Here is a 21548-nt window from a genome sequence, read left to right on the forward strand (position 1 = left end):
TTCTTTAAGAATGTTGAATATTGGCCCCCACTCTCTTCTGGCTTGTAGAGTTTCTGCTGAGAGATCAGCTGTTAGTCTGATGGGCTTCCCTTTGTGGGTAACCTGACCTTTCTCTCTGGCTGCCCTTAACATTTTTTCCTTCATTCCAACTTTGGTGAATCTGACAATTATGTGTCTTCGAGTTGCTCTTCTCGAGGAGTATCTTTGTGGCATTCTCTGTATTTCCTGAATTTGAATGTTGGCCTGCCTTGCTAGGTTGGGGAAGTTCTCCTGGATAATATCCTGCAGAGTGTTTTCCAACTTGGTTCCATTCTCCCTGTCACTTTCAGGTACACCAATCAGATGTAGATTTGGTCTTTTCACATAGTCCCATATTTCTTGGAGGTTTTGTTCATTTTTTTAACTTTTTTTTTTCTGTATACTTCTCTTCTCACTTCATTTCATTCATTTGATCTTCAATCACTGATACCCTTTCTTGCAGTTGATTGAATTGGCTACTGAAGCTTGTGCATTCATCACATAGTTCTCATGCCATGGTTTTCAGCTCCAACAGGTCATTTAAGGACTTCCCTACACTGGTTATTCTGGTTAGCCATTAGTCTAATCTTTTTTCAAGGTTTTTAGCTTCTGTGCGATTGCTTCGAACTTCCTCCTTTATCTTGGAGAACTTTGATAGTCTGAAGCCTCCTTCTCTGAATTCATGAAAGTCATTCTCTGTCCAGCTTTGTTCCATTGCTGGCCAGGAGCTGTGTTCCTTTGGAGGGGGATAGGTGCTCTCATTTTTAGATTTCAGCTTTTCTGCTCTATTTTCTCCCCATATTTGTGGTTTTATATACCTTTGTTCTTTGATGATGGTGACATACAGATGGGGTTTTGGTGTGGATGTCCTTTCTGTTTGTTAGGTTTCCTTCTAACAATCAGGATTCTCAGCTGCACGTCCTGTTGGAGTTTGCTGGAGGTCCACTCCAGACCCTGTTTGCCTGGGTATCAGCAGCAGAGGCTGCGAAACAGCAAATATTGCTGAACGGCAAATGTTGCTGCCTGATCATTCCTCTGGAAGCTTGGTCTCAGAGGGGTACCCGGCCGTGTGAGGTGTCAGTCTGCCCCTACTGGGGGGTGCCTCCCAGTTAGGCTACTCGGGGATCAGGGACCCACTTGAGGAGGCAGTCTGTTTGTTCTCCGGTCTCAGACTCTGTGCTGGGAGAACCACTACTCTCTTCAAAGCTGTCAGACAGGAACATTTAAGTCTGCAGAGGTTTCTGCTGCCTTTTGTTCGGCTATGCCCTGCCCCCAGAGGTGGAGTCTACAGAGGCAGGCAGGCCTCTTTGAGCTGTGGTGGGCTCCACCCAGTGCGAGCTTCCTGACCACTTTGTTTACCTACTGAAGCCTCAGCCATGGTGGTTGGCCCTCTCCCAGCCTCGCTGCTGCCTTGCAGTTTGATCTCAGACTGCTGTGCTAGCAATGAGCGAGGCCCCTTGGGCATGGGACCCTCCAAGCCAGGCACGGGATATAATCTCTTGGTGTTCCATTTGCTAAGACCATTGGAAAAGTGCAGTAGTACGGTGGGAGTGACCCGATTTTCCAGGTGCCATCTGTCACCCCTTCCCTTGGCTAGGGAAGGGAATTCCCTGACCCCTTGCACTTCCTGGGTGAGTCAATGCCTTGCCCTGCTTTAGCTCATGCTCAGTGGTCTGCACCCACTGTCCTACCCCCACTGTCCGATGAACCCCAGTGAGATGAACCTGATACCTCAGTTGGAAATGCAGAAGTCACCCATCTTCTGTGTTGCTCACACTGGGAGCTGTAGACTGGAGCTGTTCCTATTCGGCCATCTTGGAACCACTTCCCAGAATATACATTCTTATTTGCACATGGCATATAATCTAAAATTGAACACAATTGTCCATAAAACAATTCTCAGCAAATTAAAACAATACTGAAATTATATAAACCACATTTTCAGATCACGACACAATATACATCAAAATCAATACTAAGATGATTACATAAAGTCACAGAATTACGTGGAAGTTAAACAACCTGCTCCTCAATAATTTTTGCTTAAACAATAAAATAAAGGCAGAAATCAAGGAATTATTTGAAACTCATGAGAAAAAAATACAACATAGCTGAACAAGAGAAAATATTTGCAAACTATGAATGTGACAAAGGTCTACTTCCAGCATCTATAAGGTACTTAAACAAATTAATTACCAAAAATAAAGACCTAACCCATTAAAAAGAGGGCAAAGGACATGGACACTTTTCCAAAGATGACATACATGCAGCCAACACGCATATGAAAAAATGCTAAACCTCACTAATAATTAGAGAAATGCAAATTAAAACCACAAGGAGATACCATCTCACGCCAGCCCAAAGACTATTATATGAAGAGTCAAAAAATAACAGCTGCTGGCAAGGTGGTGGAGAAGGGAATGTTTATACACTGCTGGTGTGAATGCAAATTAGTTCAGCCATTTTGGAAAGCCGTGTGGTAATTTCTCAAAGATCTTGAATCAGAATTACTATTTTACTCAGCAATCCCATTATTGGGTATATACCCAATGGAATATAAATTGTTCCACCCATGAAGACACCTGTATGCATATGTTCATTCCAGTATTTTTCACACTAGCAAAGACATAATTATTCTAAATGTCCATCAATGGTAGACTGGATAAAGAGACCTGGGGATTTTGAAGCAGAGGAAAAATGGTGTATAGGAGGCAGGACTAAATTGTAGCTCCCAATTGAACAGAGAGAGCAGCATGTGGAGACTTGGATGATGAACTTTTCCTCCAAGAACTCTGCAGGAATATACCAGAAAAGCCAAGAGAATCCACAGTCCCTTTGAGGGAAGCAGATTGCTCCTTCAGAACCTGGGAAACAGACCAAATACTGTGAGTGTCCAAACTGTGAAAGTGGGAAAGGTGAATCATCTGCCCTGGAACACACACCTTCACTGGGGAACCTGAAGATCTAGATCATGAGAGGATTGGACTTTACCTAAAGTTGAGTTAATTGAGAGAGCAGAGTGAAATACAGAGGTAGAGGAAGCAGTGAGGAAAGACCTGTTGGCTCTCTGGGTGCCCAGGGAAGCCATTTCTGATTTGACTCACTGGGATCCTTGGGGAGGGTTGCCAGAGGAACTGGGAAAATAACACAGAAAGAAAATATCCACCTGAACTTTGTAACAATTCCCACTGAATGTGAGATTTCCTGGCCAGAACTTGGGGGAGGGTGTGAATCTTGTGTGCAGACTTGACAGGTGGGGAGGTACAAAAGTCCTGCTTACTATTGCAGCTGGGAGGCTTATAGCCTGGGGCAAGTCTTCAGCCCTGCTTGCCCATTGCCTGAAAACAAACTCGGTTCTGTCAGTAGAGGGGAGGAGCATGACGGGAGCAAGACCAGCCTTTGGGTTGCATGGGAGCTGGCTGAGGCCCGTGGCAGCCAGATTTCCCCAACTTCTCTGGCAACCTGCATGACACAGCAGAGGCAGCCATAATCCTTCTGGAAACAACTCCATTTACTTGGGAACCACACCCCCATCCCCCACAGCAGCCACAGCAAGCACCGCCCAAGGAGGGTCTGAACTTAGACATGCCTAACCTTGTCCCCACCTGATGGATCTTCCCTACTCACCCTGGTAACTGAAAACAAGGGTCACATTCTCTTGGGAGCTCTAGGGTCCTGGCCACTGCCTGATCCTCTGTATAATACCACAGCTGATGCACTCTTGAAAGCACCACCTTCTCTCAGGAGGCCAAGCAGCACAAAACTAGTGCATTAAACAATTACAACTAAGGACCCTCACAGAGTTCATTTAACTCCCCGGCCACCTCCACAGGAGCAGGCGCTAGTATCCATGGCTGATAGACCTGAAGGCAGTTCACATCAAAGGACTATGTGCAGACACACCCCAGTACCAGCCCAGAGCCTGATAGCCAAGCTTGGTGGCTAGATCCAGAAGAGAAATAACAATCACTATAGTTCATCTCTCAGGAAACCACATCCTTAGGAAAAGGGGAGATTACCACATCAAGGGAGCAACCCAAGGGACAAAGAACCTGAACAGCAGCATTCAGCCCCAAATCTTCCCTCTAACATAGCCTACCTAAATGATAAGAAACCAGAAAAACAATTCGGGTCATATGACAAAACAAACTTCTCTAACACCCTCCAAAAATCACATTAGCTTACTAGCAATAGCTCCTAACGAAGAAGAAATCGCTGAATTGCCTGAAAAGGAATTCAGAAAGATAATCAAAGAGGCACCAGAGAAAGTGAGTCCAAATTAAGGAAATGAAAAAAAGACACAAGATATAGGTGGAGAAATCTTCAGTGAAATATATAGCATAAAAAATATAATGACATTTGAATTGGTTCCAAGTCTTTGCTATTGTGAATAATGCCGCAATAAACATATATGTGCATGTGTCTTTATAGCAGCATGATTTATAGTCCTTTGGGTATATACCCAGTAATGGGATGGCTGGGTCAAATGGTATTTCTAGTTCTAGATCCCTGAGGAATCGCCACACTGACTTCCACAATGGTTGAACTAGTTTACAGTCCCACCAACAGTGTAAAAGTGTTCCTATTTCTCCACATCCTCTCCAGCACCTGTTGTTTCCTGACATTTTAATGATTGCCATTCTAACTGGTGTGAGATGGTATCTCATTGTGGTTTTGATTGGGGTGGGGGGAGGGGGGAGGGATAGCATTGGGAGATATACCTAATGCTAGATGACGAGTTAGTGGGTGCAGTGCACCAGCATGGCACATGTATACATATGTAACTAACCTGCACAATGGGCACATGTACCCTAAAACTTAAAGTATAATAAAAAAATATATAATGACAACTTCAGGAAATAAAGGACACACTTAGGGAAATGCAAAATGTACTGGAAAGTCTCAGTAATAGAATCGAACAAGCAGATGAAAGAACTCCAAACTCAACAACAAGGTTTTTGAATTAACTCAACCCAACAAAGACAAAGAAAATAATTTCTAAAAATGAACAAAGCTGGAGATTGCTGACAAGAAGCCCAATAGGAAGAGCTCCAGTCTGCATCTCCCAGTGAGATCGAAGCAGAAGGTGGGTGATTTCTGCATTTCCAACTGAGGTACCTGGTTCATCTAATTGGGACTGGTTAGACAGTGGGTGCAGCCCATGGAGGGCGAGCCGAAGCAGGGTGGGGCATCACCTCACCTGGGAAGAGCCAGGGGTCAGGAATTTTCTCCCCTACCTAAGGGAAGCCAGGAGGGACTAAGCCTGAGGAACCGTGCACTCCAGCCCAGGTATTGTGCTGGTCCCCCGGTCTTCACAACCCACAGACCAGAAGATTCCCTGGGGTCCTTACCCCATCAGGGCCCTGCGTTTCACGTGCAAAACAGGGCAGCTATTGGGCAGACATCAAAGGAGCTGTAGGAGGTTTTTTTTTTTTTTTTCCATATCCTAGTGGCACCTGGAATGCCAGTGAGACAGAAGCATTCACTCCCCTGGAAAGGGGTGCTGAAGCCAGGGAGCCAAGTGGTCAGGCTCAGCAGGTCCCAACCCCATGGATCCCAGCAAATTAAGATCCACTGGTTAGAAATTCTCAGTGCCAGCACAGCAGCAGGCTGAGATCGACCTGGGATGCTCGAGCTTGGTTGGGGGAGGAGTGTCTGCCATTGCTGAGATTGAGTAGGGGGTTTTATGCTCAAAGTATAAACAAAGCCGCAGGGAAGTTCAAACTGGGTGGAGCCCACTGCAGCTCAGCAAGAATGCTGTGGCCAGACTGCCAGATTTCTTCTCTCTGGGCAGGGCATCTCTGAAAAAAAGGCAGCAGCCCCAGCCAGGGACTTAAAGATAAAACCACCATTTCCCTGGGACAGAACATCTGGGGGAAGGGGCGGCTGTGGGAACAGCTTCAGAGGACTTACACGTCTCTAGTTGATGGCTCTGAAGAGAGTAGGGGACCTTACAGCACAGTGTTCGAGCTCTGCTAAGGGTCAGACTGCCTCCTCAAGTTGGTCCCTGACCCCCATGTATCCTGACTCGGAGACACCTCCCAGTAGAGGCCAACAGATATGTCATACAGAAGAGATCTGGCTGGCATCTAGCAGGTGACCCTCTGGGATGAAGCTTCAAGAAGAAAGAACGGGCAGCAATCTTTGCTGTTCTGCACTTCTGTTGGTGATACCCAGGAAAACAGGGTCGGGAGTGGACCTCCAGCAAACTCCAGCAGACCTGCAGCAGAGGGGCAAGACTGTTAGAAGGAAAACTAACACACAGAAAGGAATAGCACGTCCACTCAAAGACCCCATCCAAAGGTCACCAACATCAAAGACTAAAGGTAGATAAATCCACAAAGATTGGGAGAACCCAGGGAAAAAAGGCTTAAAATTCCAAAAACCAGAATGCCTCTCCTCCTCCAAAGGATGAAAACTCCTTGCCAGCAAAGGAACAAAACTGGATGGAGAATGAGTTTGACGAATTGACAGAAGTAAGATTCAGAAGGTGGGTAATAACAAACTCCTCTGAGCTGAAGGAGAATGTTCTAACCCAATGGAAGGAAGCTAAAAACCTTGAAAAAAGGTTAGATGAATTGCTAACTAGAATAACCAGTTTAGAGAAAAACTTAAATGACCTGATGGAGCTGAAAAACACAGCACAAGAACTTCATGAAGTATACACAAGTATCAATAGCTGAATTGATGAAGCAGAAGAATGGATATCAGTGATTGAAAAACAACTTAAAGAAATAGGGCAACAAGACAAGATTAGAGAAAAAAGAATAGAAAGGAATGAACAAAGCATCCAAGAAATATGGGACTATGTAAAAAGACGAAATCTACATTTGATTGTTGTACCTGAAAGTGATGGGGAGAATGGAACCAAGTTGGAAAACACTCTTCAGGATATTATCCAGGAGATCTTCTCCAACCTAATAAGACAGGCCAACGTTCAAATTCAGAAAATACAGAGAATACCACAAAGATACTCCTCAAAAAGAGCAACCCCAAGACATATAATTGTCAGATTCACCAAAGTTGAAATGAAGGAAAAAATGTTAAGGGCAGCCAGAGAGAAAAGTCGGGTTACCGACAAAGGGAAGCCCATAAGACTAACAGTCGATCTCTAAGAGATTGGGGCCAATATTCAACATTCTTAAAGAAAATAATTTTCAACCCAGAATTTCATATCCAGCCAAACTAAGCTTCATAAGCAAAGGAAAAATAAAATCCTTTACAGACAAGCAAATGCTGAGAGATTTTGTCACCACCAGGCCTGCCTTACAAGAGCTCCTGAAGGAAGCACTAAACATGGAAAGGAACAACTGATAGCATCCACTGCAAAAGCATACCAAATTATTAAAAAAATCGACCCTATGAAAAAACTGCATCAACTAATGGGCAAAACAACCAGCTAGCATCATAATGATACGATCAAATTCACACTTAACAATATTAACCTTAAATGTAAACGGGCTAAATGCCCCAATTAAGAGACACACACTGGCAAATTGGATAAAGACTTAAGACCCATCAGTGTGCTGTATTCAGGAGACCCATCTCACATGCAAAGACACACATAGGCTCAAAATAAAGGGATGGAGGAAGATCTACCAAGCAAATGGAAAGCAAAAAATAGCTGGAGTTGCAATCCTGGTCTCTGATAAAACAGACTTTAAACCAACAAAGATCAAAAGAGACAAAGAAGGCCATTACATAATGGTAAAGGGATCAATGCAGCAAGAAGAGCTAACTATCCTAAATATATACACCCCCAATACAGGAGCACCCAGATTCATAAAGCAAGTTCATAGAGACCTACAAAGAGGCTTAGACTCCCACACAATAACAGTGGTAGACTTCAACACCTCACTGTCAATATTAGACAGATCAATGACCTCACTGTCAATATTAGACAGATCAATGAGACAGAAAATTAAGAACTTGAACTCAGCTCTGGGCCAAATGGACCTAATAGACATCTACAGAACTCTCCACCGGAAATAGACAGAATATACATTCTTCTCAGCACCACATTACACTTATTCTAAAATTGACCACATAATTGGAAGTAAAGCATTCCTCAGCAAATGCAACAGAATGGAAATCATAACAGTCTCGCAGACCACAGTGCAATCACAAATTAGAAGTCAGGATTAAGAAACTCACTCAAAACCACACAACTACATGGAAACCAAACAACCTGCTCCTGAATGACTACTGGGTAAGTAAATAAATGAAGGAAGAAATAAAGATGTTCTTTGAAACCAATGAGGATGAAGATACAATGTACCAGAATCTCTGGGATACATTGAAGGCAGTGTATAAAGGAAAATTTATAGCACTAAATGCCCACAAGAGAAAGCAGGAAAGATCTAAAATTGACACCCTAACATCAAAATTAAAAAAAACGAGAAAAGCAATAGCAAACAAATACAAAAGCCAGCAGAAGACAAGAAATAATTAAGATCAGAGCAGAACTGAAGGAGATAGAGACATGAAAAACCCTTCAAAAAAAATCAATAAATCCAGGAGCTGGTTTTTTGAAATGATCAACAAAATAGATAGACCATGAGCTAGATTAATAAAAAAGAAAAGAGAGAAGAATCAAAGAGATGCAATAAAAATGATACAGGGAATATCGCCACTGATCCCACAAAAATACAAACTACCATGAGAGAATACTATAAACATCTCTACACAAATAAACTAGAAAATATAGAAGAAATGGAGAAATTCCTAGACATATACACACAAGAAGTCTAAACCAGTAAGAAGTTTAATCCCTGAATAGACCAATAACAAGTTCTGAAATTGAGGCAGTAATTAATAGCCTACAAACCAAAAAACGTCCAGGACCAGATTCACAGCTGAATTCTACCAGAGGTACAAAGAGGAGCTGGTACCATTCCTTCTGAAACTATTCCAAACAATAAATAGGTAATCCTCCCTAACTCATTTTATGAGCCCAACAATATCATACCAATACCTGGCAGAGACACAGCAACAAAGAAAATTTCAGGTCAATATCCTTGATGAACATTGATGCAAATATCCTCAATGAAATACTGGCAACCGAATCCAGCAGCACGTCAAAAAGCTTATCCACCATGATCAAGTCAGCTTCATCCCTGGGATGCAAGGCTGGTTCAACATATGCAAATCAATAAATGTAATCCATCACATCAACGGAACCAAAGACAAAAACCACATGATTATCTCAATAGATGCAGAAAAGGCCTTCAACAAAATACAACACCCCTTCATGCTAAAAACTCTGAATAAACTAGGTATCGATGGAATATATCTCTAAATAATAAGAGCTATTTATGACACAGCCAATATCATACTAAATAGGCAAAAACTGGAAGCATTCCATTTAAAAACCGGCACAAGACAAGGATGTCCTCTCTCACCACTCCTATTCTACATAGTACTGGAAGTTCTGAGCAGGGTAGTCAGGCAAGAGGAAGAAATAAATGATATTCAAATAGAAAGAGAGGAAGTCAAATTGTCTCTGTTTGCAGATGACATGATTGTATATTTACAAAACCCCATCATCTCAGCCCAAAATCTCCTTAAGCTGTTAAGCAATTTCAGCAAAGTCTCAGGATACAAAAACAATGTGCAAAAATCACAAGCATTCCTATACACCAATAACAGACAAACAGAGAGTCAAATCATGAGGGAACTTCCATTCACAATTGCTACTAAGAGAATAAAATACCTAGGAATACAACTTACAAGAGATGTGAATGACCTCTTCAAGGAGAACTACAAACAACTACTCAAGGAAATAAGAGAGAACACAAACAAATGGAAAAAATCCCATGCTCATGGACAGAAAAAAATCAATATGGTGAAAATGGCCATACTGCCCAAGGTAGTTTGTAGATTCAATGCTATCCCCATCAAGCTACCACTGACTTTCTTCAAAGAATTTGAAAAAACTACTTCAAACTTCATATGAAACCAAAAAAGAACCCACATAGGCAAAACAATCCTTAGCAAAAAGAACAAAGCTGGAGGCATCGCGCTGCCTGCTTCAAACTATACTACAAGGCTACAGTAATCAAAACAGCATGGTACTTGAACCAAAACAGATATATAGACCAATGGAACAGAACAGAGGCTTGAGAATTAACACCACACATATACAACAATCTGATATTTGACACACCTGACACAAACAAGCAATGTGGAAAACATTCCCTATTTAATAGTGTTGGGAAAACTGGCTTGCCATATGCAGAAAACTGAAACTGGACCCCTTCCTTACACCTTATATAAAAATCAACTCAAGATGGATTAAAGACTTAAACGTAAGACCTAAAACCATAAAAATCCTAGAAGAAATCCTTAGCAATACCATTCAGGACATAGGCATGGGCAAAGACTTCATGACTGAAATGCCAAAAGCAATGGCAACCAAAGCCAAAATTGACAAATGGGATCTAACTAAACTAAAGAGCTTCTATACAGCAAAATAAAGTATCATCAGAGTGAACAGGCAACCTAAAGAATGGGAGAAAATTTTTGCGCTATCAGTCTGACAAATGGCTAATATCGAGAATCTACAAAGAACTTAAACAAATTTACAAGAAAAAAACAAATGACTCCACAAAAAGTGGGCAAAAGATATCAACAGACACTTCTCAAAAGAAGACATTTATGTAGCCAACAAACATATGAAAAAAATGCTCATCATCACTGGTCATTATTGATATGCAAATCAAACCACAATGACATACCATCTCACACCAGTTAGAATGGTGAACATTAAAAAGTCAGGAAACAATAGATGCTGGAGAGGATGTGGAGAAATAGGAATGCTTTTAAATGGTTGGTGGGAGTGTCAATTAGTTCAACCATTGTGGAAGACAGTGTGGCAATTCCTCAAGGATCTAGAACTAGAAATACCATTTGATCCAGCAATCCCATTACTGGATATATACCCAAAGGATTATAAATCATTCTACTATAAAGACACATGCCCACGTATGTTTATTGTGGCACTAATTACAATAGCAAAGACTTGGAACCAACCCAAATGTTCATCAATAATAGACTGGATAAAGTAAATGTGGCACATATACACCATGAAATACTATGCAGCCATAAAAAGGGATGAGTTCCTGTTCTTTGCAGGGACGTGGATGAAGCTGGAAACGATCATTCTCAGCAAACTATGACAGGAACAGAAAACCAAACACTGCATGTTCTCACTCATAAGTGGGAGTTGACAAATGTGAACACATGGACAAAGGTAGGGGAACATCACACACTTGGGCCTGTCAGGGGTGGGGGGCTAGGGGAGGGATAGCATTAGGAGAAATGCCTAATGTAGATGATGCATTGATGGGTGCATCAAACCACCATGGCACAGGTATACCCATGTAACAGAACTGCATGTTCTGCACATGTACCTCAGAACTAAAAGTATAATTTAAAAAAATGAATAAAGCCTCAAATAAGTTTAAGATTATATTGAATAGCCAAACTTAAGAATAATTGGCATTCATGAGGAAGAAGATATATCTAAAAGCTTGAAGAACATATTTGGGGAAATAATCGAGGAAAACTTTTCTGGCATTGGTAGAGATCTAGATATCCAAATACAAGAAGCCCAAAGAACACCTGGGGATTTCATTAAAACAAGATCATCACCTAGGCACATTGTCATCAAGTTATCTGAAGACAAGATGAATGAAAGAATCTTAAGAATTGTGTGGCAAAAGCAGCAGGAAACGTGTAAAGGAAAATCTATCAGATAAACAGCATATTTCTCAGCAGAAACCCTACAAGCTAGAAAGAATTTGGGCTGTATCTTCAGTCTCATTAAACAAAACAATTGTTAACCAAAAATTTTGTATCCAGCAAAACTAAGCTTCATAAGTGAAGTAAAGATACAGTCTTTGCCAGATAAACAAATACTGAGAGAAGTTGACACTATCAAACCAGCTCTAGAATAACTGCTAAAGCAGCTCGAAATCTTGATACAAATCCTGGAAACACATCAAATAGAATCTCTTTAAAGCATAAATCTCACAGTACCTATAAAATAAAAACACAGTAAATAAAAACCAGGATACTTAGGCAACAAATAGCATGATGAATGGAATAGTATCTCACATCTCAATACTAACGTTGAATGTAAGTGACCTAAATGCCCCATGTAAAAGATATAGAATTGCAGAGTAGGTAAGAATTTACCAGCCAAGTATCTGCTGCCTCTAAGAGACTCACCTAACACATAAGGACTCACATAAACTTAAGGTAAAGCATGGAAAAAGATATTTCATGCAAATGGACACCAAAATTGAGTAGGAGTAGCTATTCTTACGTCAGACAAAATCTTTAAAGCAACAGCAGTTTGAAAAGACAAAGAGGGACATTATATAATAATAAAAGGCCTTATCCAACAGGAAAATGTTACAATTCTAAATATAAATGTGTATAACACTGGAGTTCCCAAATTCATAAAACAATTACTTCTAGATGTAATAAATGAGAAAAACAGCAATGTGATAATAGTGGGGAAACTTCAATACTTCACTGACAGCAATAGACAGTTCATCAAGACAGAAAGTCAAAAAAGAAACAATGGACTTAAACTATACCCTAGAAAAAATAGATTTAACAGATATGTACAGCCATTCTACCCAACAACCACAGGATATACATTTTATTCATCAGTGCATAAAACTTTCTCCAAGATAGACCATATGATAGGCCACAAAACAAGTCTTAATGAATTTAAGAAAATTGAAATTACATCAACTACTTCCTCAGACCACAGTGGAATAAAAGTGGAAATCAACTCCAAAAGGAACCTTCAAAACCATAAAACACATACAAATTAAATAACCTGTTCCTGAATGTTCACTGGGTAATCAATGAAATCAAGATGGAAATTAAAATATTCTGTGAATTGAACAATAATAGTGACATGTCCTATCTAAACATCTGTGATACAGCAAAGTCAGTGTTAAGAGGAAAGTTGAGAACCTTAAATACCTACTTCAGTAAATCTGAAAGAGCACATACAGATAATCTAAGGTCACACCCCAAGAAACTAGAGAAGAGCAAACCAAACCCCAAACCCAGCAGAAGAAAAGAAATAGCAAAGGTTATAGCAAAATAAAATAAAATAAAATATAAAAATATAAAACATAAATAAAACAAAAGGCTGGTTCTTTTAAAAGACAAATAAAATTGATAAACCATTAGCAAAATTAACCAAAAAGAGAGAGAATATCCAAAAAAGCTCAATTAGAAATGAAACAGGAGATATTACAACCGACAGCACAGAAATACAAAAGATTATTCAAGGCTACTACAAACATGCACATAAACTAGAAAACCTAGAGGAGATGGATAAATTCCTGGAAAGATACAACCCTGCTAGCTTAAAACAGAAAGAATTAGAAACCCTGAACAGACCAATAACAAGCAGCAAGATTGAAATAATCATAAAAAAATTACTAACAATAAAAAAATTTAGGACAAGATTGATTCACTGTTTAATTCTATCAGACATAAAAAAAAAGTAGGTACCAATCCTATTGACACTATTCCACAAGATAGAGGAAAAGAGAATCCTCCCTAAATCATTCTATGAAGAGAGTATCACCAAGGAGAGGACATAACCAAAAAAAGAAACTACAGACCAATATCTGTAGGGAGCTGAAGGCCCGTGGGATGTGACCAACTCAGCATTCCACTGGAGGCTATGTGATCAAACAGCAAACTGTTTATCATGAATGCAGGATGTGGGCAAACTCACACTGCGCCTGATGCCAAAAGGTTTGCTGACGGCTGTCACTCCCTGGTGCCGGGCTCCTTGAAGTTATCTACTGGGAAATCTAGTGCCTATTGCTCAAAGGATGCAGTCTCACAAGCCTGCTGTGAACCAAATGGCCGAGTGACAATTACCCAACAATCATCGCTCCCTTTCTTGTTATCTCTCTTACCTAATAAATTTGGAGGGCTGAAAAAGCTCAGGACCCTTGTCCACTAGAGACAAGGTGCCCCCTGACCCCTTCTTCCAAACATATTCTTTTGTCTTTGCCTTTTATTCTCATGTTTGCCCCATTTGTTCAGTCCCTCAATGTCCGTGCAGGTTACAAGTGGTGAACAAACACAGGGACTTCGAGGACGTGAACAAAGAAGGTCTGCTGAAGCAGAGGAACTGAAATTCACAAGCCGAACGGGGACCCTGGAACGAGTCTGCCAGCAGTGGATATAAGGTTAGTGCCCTAAAGAGGTACTGATCAGTGCCCTAAAGAGGTACTGGGTACTGGGAACAGGAAGTTTTCTGAATCAGGGTAACATGGGCCAGAATTTGTCTGTTGAAGAAAAACATGTGCAGTTGCTTAAAGTTCTGTTGAGACAGTCTGGAGGTCAGGTTAATTCACAGACACTTACTAACCACCTGCAGAAGCCACAAAATGTTATTATGCATAACCCATGGTTTCCATAGGCAGGCACTTTTGATGTGGAAAATTGGGACAGAGCAGGAGATGGATTAAAACAGGCTCATCAAAAAGGTCTTAAAGTTGATTTTTCTGTGTTTTCCACTTGGAGTTTAATTTGTACTGTACTTCTACCATTATCTCCTTATTATTCTGCAGGACAGGAGGCTGAGTCTAAAAATCTGAAAGAATCTGTTGTCCCACCCACAGCACTAATTGAAAATAAAAAACAGGAGAGGGAGGATAAAAATTGGCCTATACCACCTCCTCCAATTGCAGAAACATCTGTACCACCTCCTTCAGTAGCAGAAATAGAAATGAAAAATACAAAGAATTTTACCCTCTGCTGCCATAGCTGAAGAGCCCTTAGGACCTTGCACTTTTCCTATTTCTGTAAGGCCTGATCGAAGTAATCCACAGCAGCTTATTCATGAACACACTCCACTAGAGTTTAAGTTGTTGAAGAAATTAAAAGCAAGTGTAGTAAATAATGGCGTACGGAGCCCATTTACTTTAGGATTGCTAGAATCTGCATTTGGTGCTATCTATCTTTTACCCTTTGATGTAAAACACTTGACATGAACTTGCTTGTCTGCTAGTGCATATCTGACAGGGAATTTAAATTAACAAGAAATGTGTGCAGATCAGGCTAGACAGAACTGTGTTGCTGGACACGGAGACATTACAGAGGATAAGCTACTGGGTAATGACCCTTATTCAGACCTGGAACGTCAAATGGCACTCCCAGACGCTGCTTATCAGCAGTGTGCACAGGCTGCTAAATGCACCTGGGCTGCAATTCCTGAAGAGGGAGTCCCAGTACAATCCTTTTTAAATATCATGCAAGGGTCACAGGAACCCTATGCACAATTTCTTGCACAAGTACAAGAGGGAGTGAAGTGTCAGATTCCTCATACCATGGCTGCAGAAATGCTAACCTTAACTCTAGCGGATTGTAAATGTGCACTGGCACCTGTGAGGTGTACAAAAATCTTGGGAAATTTTCTCAGAGCTTGTCAGGATGTAGGAACTGAGCTTCATTGATCTGCAATGTTAGCACAAGCAATGGCTAATTTAGCAGTTGACAAATCTAAAACGAGCCAAGGGTCAAACCCTAAAATGTGAAAATGTTACAGTTGTGGAAAAACTGGACATTTTAAAAAGGAATGCCACAAGATCTCAGGACAGAAAGCACCTTAAAATGCAGTTACCCCCCACCCCCAGTGGAAAAAATGTCAGAACTTTGTCCTTGTTGTAACAAAGGAAATCACTGGGCTAATCAGTGCTGCTCAAAATTTCATCAGAATGGCACCCCCTGTTGGGAAGCGAGATGGGGGCCTTGACCCAGGCCCCTCAAACAATGAGGGCATTCCCAGTTCAGACCACAACCCTGTTTCAGGAAACACATTGATTGCCTCACCCCAGGAACACCAGGAAGTGCAGGATTAGATCTACCCGCCAGAGAAAGAATCATGTTAGTTGGGGGAGATAAACCCATCAAAGTTCCCACTGGTATTTGGGGACATTTACTAACAGGATACATGGGACTAATTTTAGGCAAAAGCCATCTTAACTTACAGGGCATTATTGTAATCCCAGGAGTTGTTGACTCTGATTATGAAGGGGAAATTCAAGTAGTTTTAATGTCACAAGATCTTTGGGTTTTTGAACCAGGAGACTATATTGCTCAATTATTGCTTATTCCCTGTAAATTACACCCTTCTCTGCAAAAGAAGAAATGAGAAAATAAATGGCTCGGGAGCACAGCTACATGACAAATTTATCTATCCCATCCCATAGACTCTAATAGACCCACCTGTGTAGTACAAATTAAAGGAAGGGAATTTTATGGGCTTACGGATATGGGAGCTGATGTGTCAGTAATATCTAAAGACAACTGGCCCCCATCCTGGCCCTTGCAATTAACTTCTACTTCCCTAGTGGGAGTAGGAGAAGCTAAGAGTGCTGAGATTTTATCTTGTCTTGGTCCAGATGGACAATTGTGTACTTTTCAGCTTTATGTTGCAAATATAGCTATCAATTTATGAGGTCAAGACTTACTTACAGCATAGGATATGAGACTCACAAATGAAAACTTTGATAACCCAGATTTAAAATGTTGAAGAACATGGGATATCAGGGTGGGAAAGGTTTAGGGAAAGTCCTACAAGGAAATCTAACCTGATATTAGTAACTGGAAAAACAGATAGCAAAGGGCTAAGATGTCAGGATTTCTGATGGGGGTCATTTATATTTCTCCTCTGCCTACTGCCTTACCATTAGAATGGCTTAGTGACAAACCTGTGTGGGTGGATCAATGGCCCCTAACACAGGAGAAGCTAGATCAACTTCATCTGTTGGTAAAAGAACCTTTGGATTCAGTACATATAGAAAAGTCAGTTAGCCCCTGGAATTCACTGGTATTTGTTATTCCAAAAAAGTCCAGAAGCAATAATGACCTCTGGGGTTTCAGCTCAATGCTCAGAGCTAATTGCAATCATTCAGGTTTTATAGCTTACAGTTTCAGATCCTATCAACATTGTCAGTGATTCAGCTTATGTTGTAAATGTAACCAGTCACATAGAAACTGCTACAATTAAAAGTCCACTAGACCCAAAACTGCATAATTTGTTTATGTTCGTGTGACTATAGGCACTTATTCTCATATGCTGCATGATACATGCCAAACAGATGAGACAGCTGGTCATGTATGGCAACATTGTCTGTCATCATTTGCTCATATGGAGATACGTAAACAATTAAGAACTGACAATGGACCCACTTATACTAGTCATGCTTTTCAAAATTTCTTACAGCTTTGGACAATAACCCATAAAACAGGAATTCCTTATAATCCTAGAGGACAAGGCATTACAATCAAACATTACAACACATGTTGAAAAGACAAAAAGGGGGTATAAGAGGACAACTACCACCTCAATCAAAACTACATTTAGACTTATTTACTTTAAATTTTTTGATTCCTGGTACAGATGGTAAGACTCCAGCAGAAAGGCATTGACAAGTGTTAGAGGCAAAGACAAAAATTTATCTGAAAGTGTTATGGAAATCCGCAGAAGAGGGACAATGGAAAGGTCTGGTGGATTTACTGATGTGGGGACGAGGGTATGCTTGTGTTTTTACAGGAGATTGACAAACCGTGTGGGTGTCCTCAAGGTGGATGCAGCCGTGGAATGGGAGACTGGAGGAACCCAGGGTGGCCAACCATGGGCCCGGTCCCTCTGGTATGAGCCATGAGCCAGCTGAGCCTGAGTACAAAGACGGAGAGGTTGACCAGCGTCATGACGACATCAACCCCCATAACCTGGGGACAACTCAAGAAAACCATGCAGGAAGCTGAGAAACTACTGGAGCATCAAGGCCAGACAAAAACCCGATTCCATGTTTGTGACCATGTTAGCCTTAATGTCCTCTGCGGTATTTTTTCCCTGTGCAAAGGCAAAAACATATTGGGCATATGTTCCAAATTCCCCAGCAGTATGACCTATACTTTGGAGTGACACTCCTCCTGGGATTTATCACGACTGGGGAGAGTGGGCTCCAGGACCCCTAACTCCCCCTGACATAGAACAATTAGACTCTCAGAATACTGTCATTAATTTTACCACTCCACTGGAAGGAATTCCTTTGTGTACCACCACAAAGATGTCACTCAGCCATAGCTGTCTTACAATTCAAGCTCAAACATGGTTGAGTCACTATGGAAAACTCATGTACTTATTAAGTCTTGGTTCTATTAATGTAACTGGTGTGCTAACCAACCATTCCAGGCCCAATCGCCCTAATTGTGCTGACTATATGGAATGGATTCCCTTCAATATTTCCTACCCCCTTCCATGGACCCAGTGTCTTGGCCCACTGGCTAGAAAACAATCTATGTTAACGGGAGACATTGTGGATTGGGGACCTAAAGGTCAATTAGATGGAAAGGACGAAAATCAGAAATCGTGGCACAAACTTCGCTGGCATTGGTGGCGAGCTTTTAATACTTCTTCTTTATATAACACCAGGATTCAATCCCAGTCTGCTGCCCAGATTGCTTGGCATGGAGCAGGCTTTAGCCTGCCTCTTCCTCAGTGGCATTATCTAGGGAGGAAAAGACCAATTCAAGAGATGAATTGGAAGGCAGCACTCCCATTTATGAATGACAGCATCTCAATTGGGATACTATCCAATAATAGCAATAGTAAGCAATGCAGTCTTAATGTTACATTTGTAAAGAATATCACCACTCAATTTACAGTTTGTGTTTTTAATCCTTATGACTTTTTGTCAGCTAAGAAGGACCAGCTCCAGGTAAACAGTATCCAATTGACCTGTAAATCTTGCCATTTGTATCACTGCATTAATCATAGCACATTGCAAACACATAATATCTCTACTTTGATTTTAGGTTGCATCCCTGGGCTATGGATTCCTATTAATCTGTCTGAGCCTTGGGTTGCCACCCTTGCCTTGCATTTTGTTGAAACTTCTTCTAACTCAGCTTACTCATTGTGTCCGTAGAGCCTTAGGCATGATAATTTTTGCTATTGTTTCCTTGGTCACACTAATGACTTCTGTTGTGATGTCCTCTGTAGCTTTGCATCATTCTATTCAAACAGCTCAGTACATGGAGAACTGGATGTGCACAGCCAACCAAGCGTGGCTACACTGAGTTACAAACTGAAGGGCCAATGTTGAAATCCATGTTTCTATGGTTAGGAGAACAAGTACAAATCTTGCAGTTGCAGCAGCAATTGCATTGTCATTTTAACCACACTCGTATTTGTGTAACAAACTTAGAATATAAAAAAAGTGAGTATCCATGGGACCCTGTGAAAGCCCATTTGTAGGGAGCTTTCACATCCATCATCACCTTTGATATTGGTGAGTTACAAAACAAAATTCTTGATTTAAATAGGCGAACTCAGGAATTTCAGCCTTCTTTAGAAGACTGGACTGAATTCCAGCAAGGCTTGGAGAGCCTCAATCCTTGGATCTATGTAAGGCACCACATTAACATCTTATATGTAGTTCTTGGAATAATGTTGTTTTGTCTCTGTCTTCTGTTCATAGTCTGTAAAATCGGATGGACCGCCAATCAGAAAATGGGTGCTGCCAAGCCTGGACTTACATTCTTTCTATTAATTTGTAAACACAAAGGGGGATATGTAGGGAGCCAAAGGCCCATGGGATGTGATCAACTCAGCATTCCACTGAAGGCTATATGATCAAACAGCAAACTGTTTATCATGAATACAGGATGTAGGCAAACTCACACTGCGCCTGCCACCAAAAAGTTTGCTCAGGGCCATCACTCCCTGGTGCTGGGCTCCTTGAAGTTATATACTGGGAAATCTAGCACCTATTGTTCGAAGGATGCAGTCTCACAAGCCTGCTGTGAACCAAACGGCTGAGTGACAATTACCTGACAATCACCCCCCCCACCTTCTCGTTATCTCTCTTACTTAATAAATTCGGAGGGCTGAAAAAGCTCAGGGCCCTGGTCCACTAGAGGCAAGGTGCCCCCTGACCCCTTCTTCCAAACGTACTTTTGTCTTTTTCATTCCAGCGTTTGCCCTCTTTGTTCAGTCCCCAAGGTCCGTGCGGGTTACAAATATCCCTGATAAACATAGATACAAAAATCCTTAACAAAACACTAGCTAATGGAATCCAACAGCATATTAAAAACATAATCCATCATGATAAAGTAAGTTTCATACAGGGGATGCAGGGATGGTTAAACATACACAAGTCAATAAATGCGATACACCCCATAAACAGAATTAAAAACAAAAATCACATGATTATCTCAATAGATGCAGAAAAAGCATCTGACAAAAGCCAGCATCCCTTCATGATTAAAACTCTCAGCAAAATCGGCATACAAAGGACATACCTCAATGTAATAAAAGCCATCTATGGCAAACACACAGCCAACATAATACTGAACAGGGAAAAGTTGAAAGCATTTCCTCTGAGAAATGGAACAAGAAAAGTATGCCCACTCTCACCACTTATGTTCAACATAGTACTGGAAGTCCTAGCCAGAGCAATCAGACAAGAGAAAGAAATAAAGGGCCTCCAAATCGGTAAAGAGGTAGTCAAACTGTAACTGTTTGCTGATGATATGATTGTATACATAGAAACCATAAAGACTTCTCCAAAACACTCCAGGAACTGATAAATGAATTCAGCAAAGTTTCAGGATACAAAATTAATGTACACAAATCAGTAGCTCTGCTATGCACCAACAGTGACCAAGCTGAGAATCAAATCAAGAACTCAACCCCTTTCACAATAGCCACAAAATAAATAAAATACTTACAAATATACATAACCAAGGAGGTGAAAGATCTCTACAAGGAAAACCACAAAACACTACTGAAAGAAAACACAGATGACACAAACAAATGGAAACAAATCCCATGCTCATGGATGGGTAGAATCAACATTGTGAAAAAGAATACTGCCAAAAGAAATCTACAAATGTCATTGCAATTCTCATAAAAAAGCCACCATCATTCTTCACAGAACTAGGAAAAAAAAATCCTAAAATTCACATGGAACCAAAAAAGAGCCTGCATAGCCAAAGGAAGACTAAGCAAAAAGAACAAATCTGGAGGCATCACATTCCCCAACTTCAAACTATACTAGAAGTCCATAGTCACCAAAACAGCATGACACCGGTATAAAAACAGGCACATAGACAAATCTTAAAGAATAGAGGACCCAGAAATAAACCCAAATGCCTACAGCCAACTGATTTTCATCAAAGCAAACAAAAACATAAAGTGGGGAAAGGACACCCTATTCAACAAATGGTGCTGGCATAATTGGCAAGCCACATGTAGGAGAATGAAACTAGATCCTCATCTCTCACCTTATACAAAAATCATCTCAAGATGGATCAAGGACTTAAATCCAAGACCTGAAACTGTAAAAATTTTAAACGATAACATCAGAAAAACTCTTCTAGGCATTGGCTTAGTCAAAGACTTCATGACCAAGAACCCAAAAGCAAACGAAACTAAAACAAAGATAAGTAAGTGGAACTTAATTAAACTA

This window comes from Homo sapiens, chromosome X (assembly GCF_000001405.40).
Source record: "Homo sapiens chromosome X, GRCh38.p14 Primary Assembly".
Taxonomy (NCBI): Eukaryota; Metazoa; Chordata; class Mammalia; order Primates; family Hominidae; genus Homo; species Homo sapiens.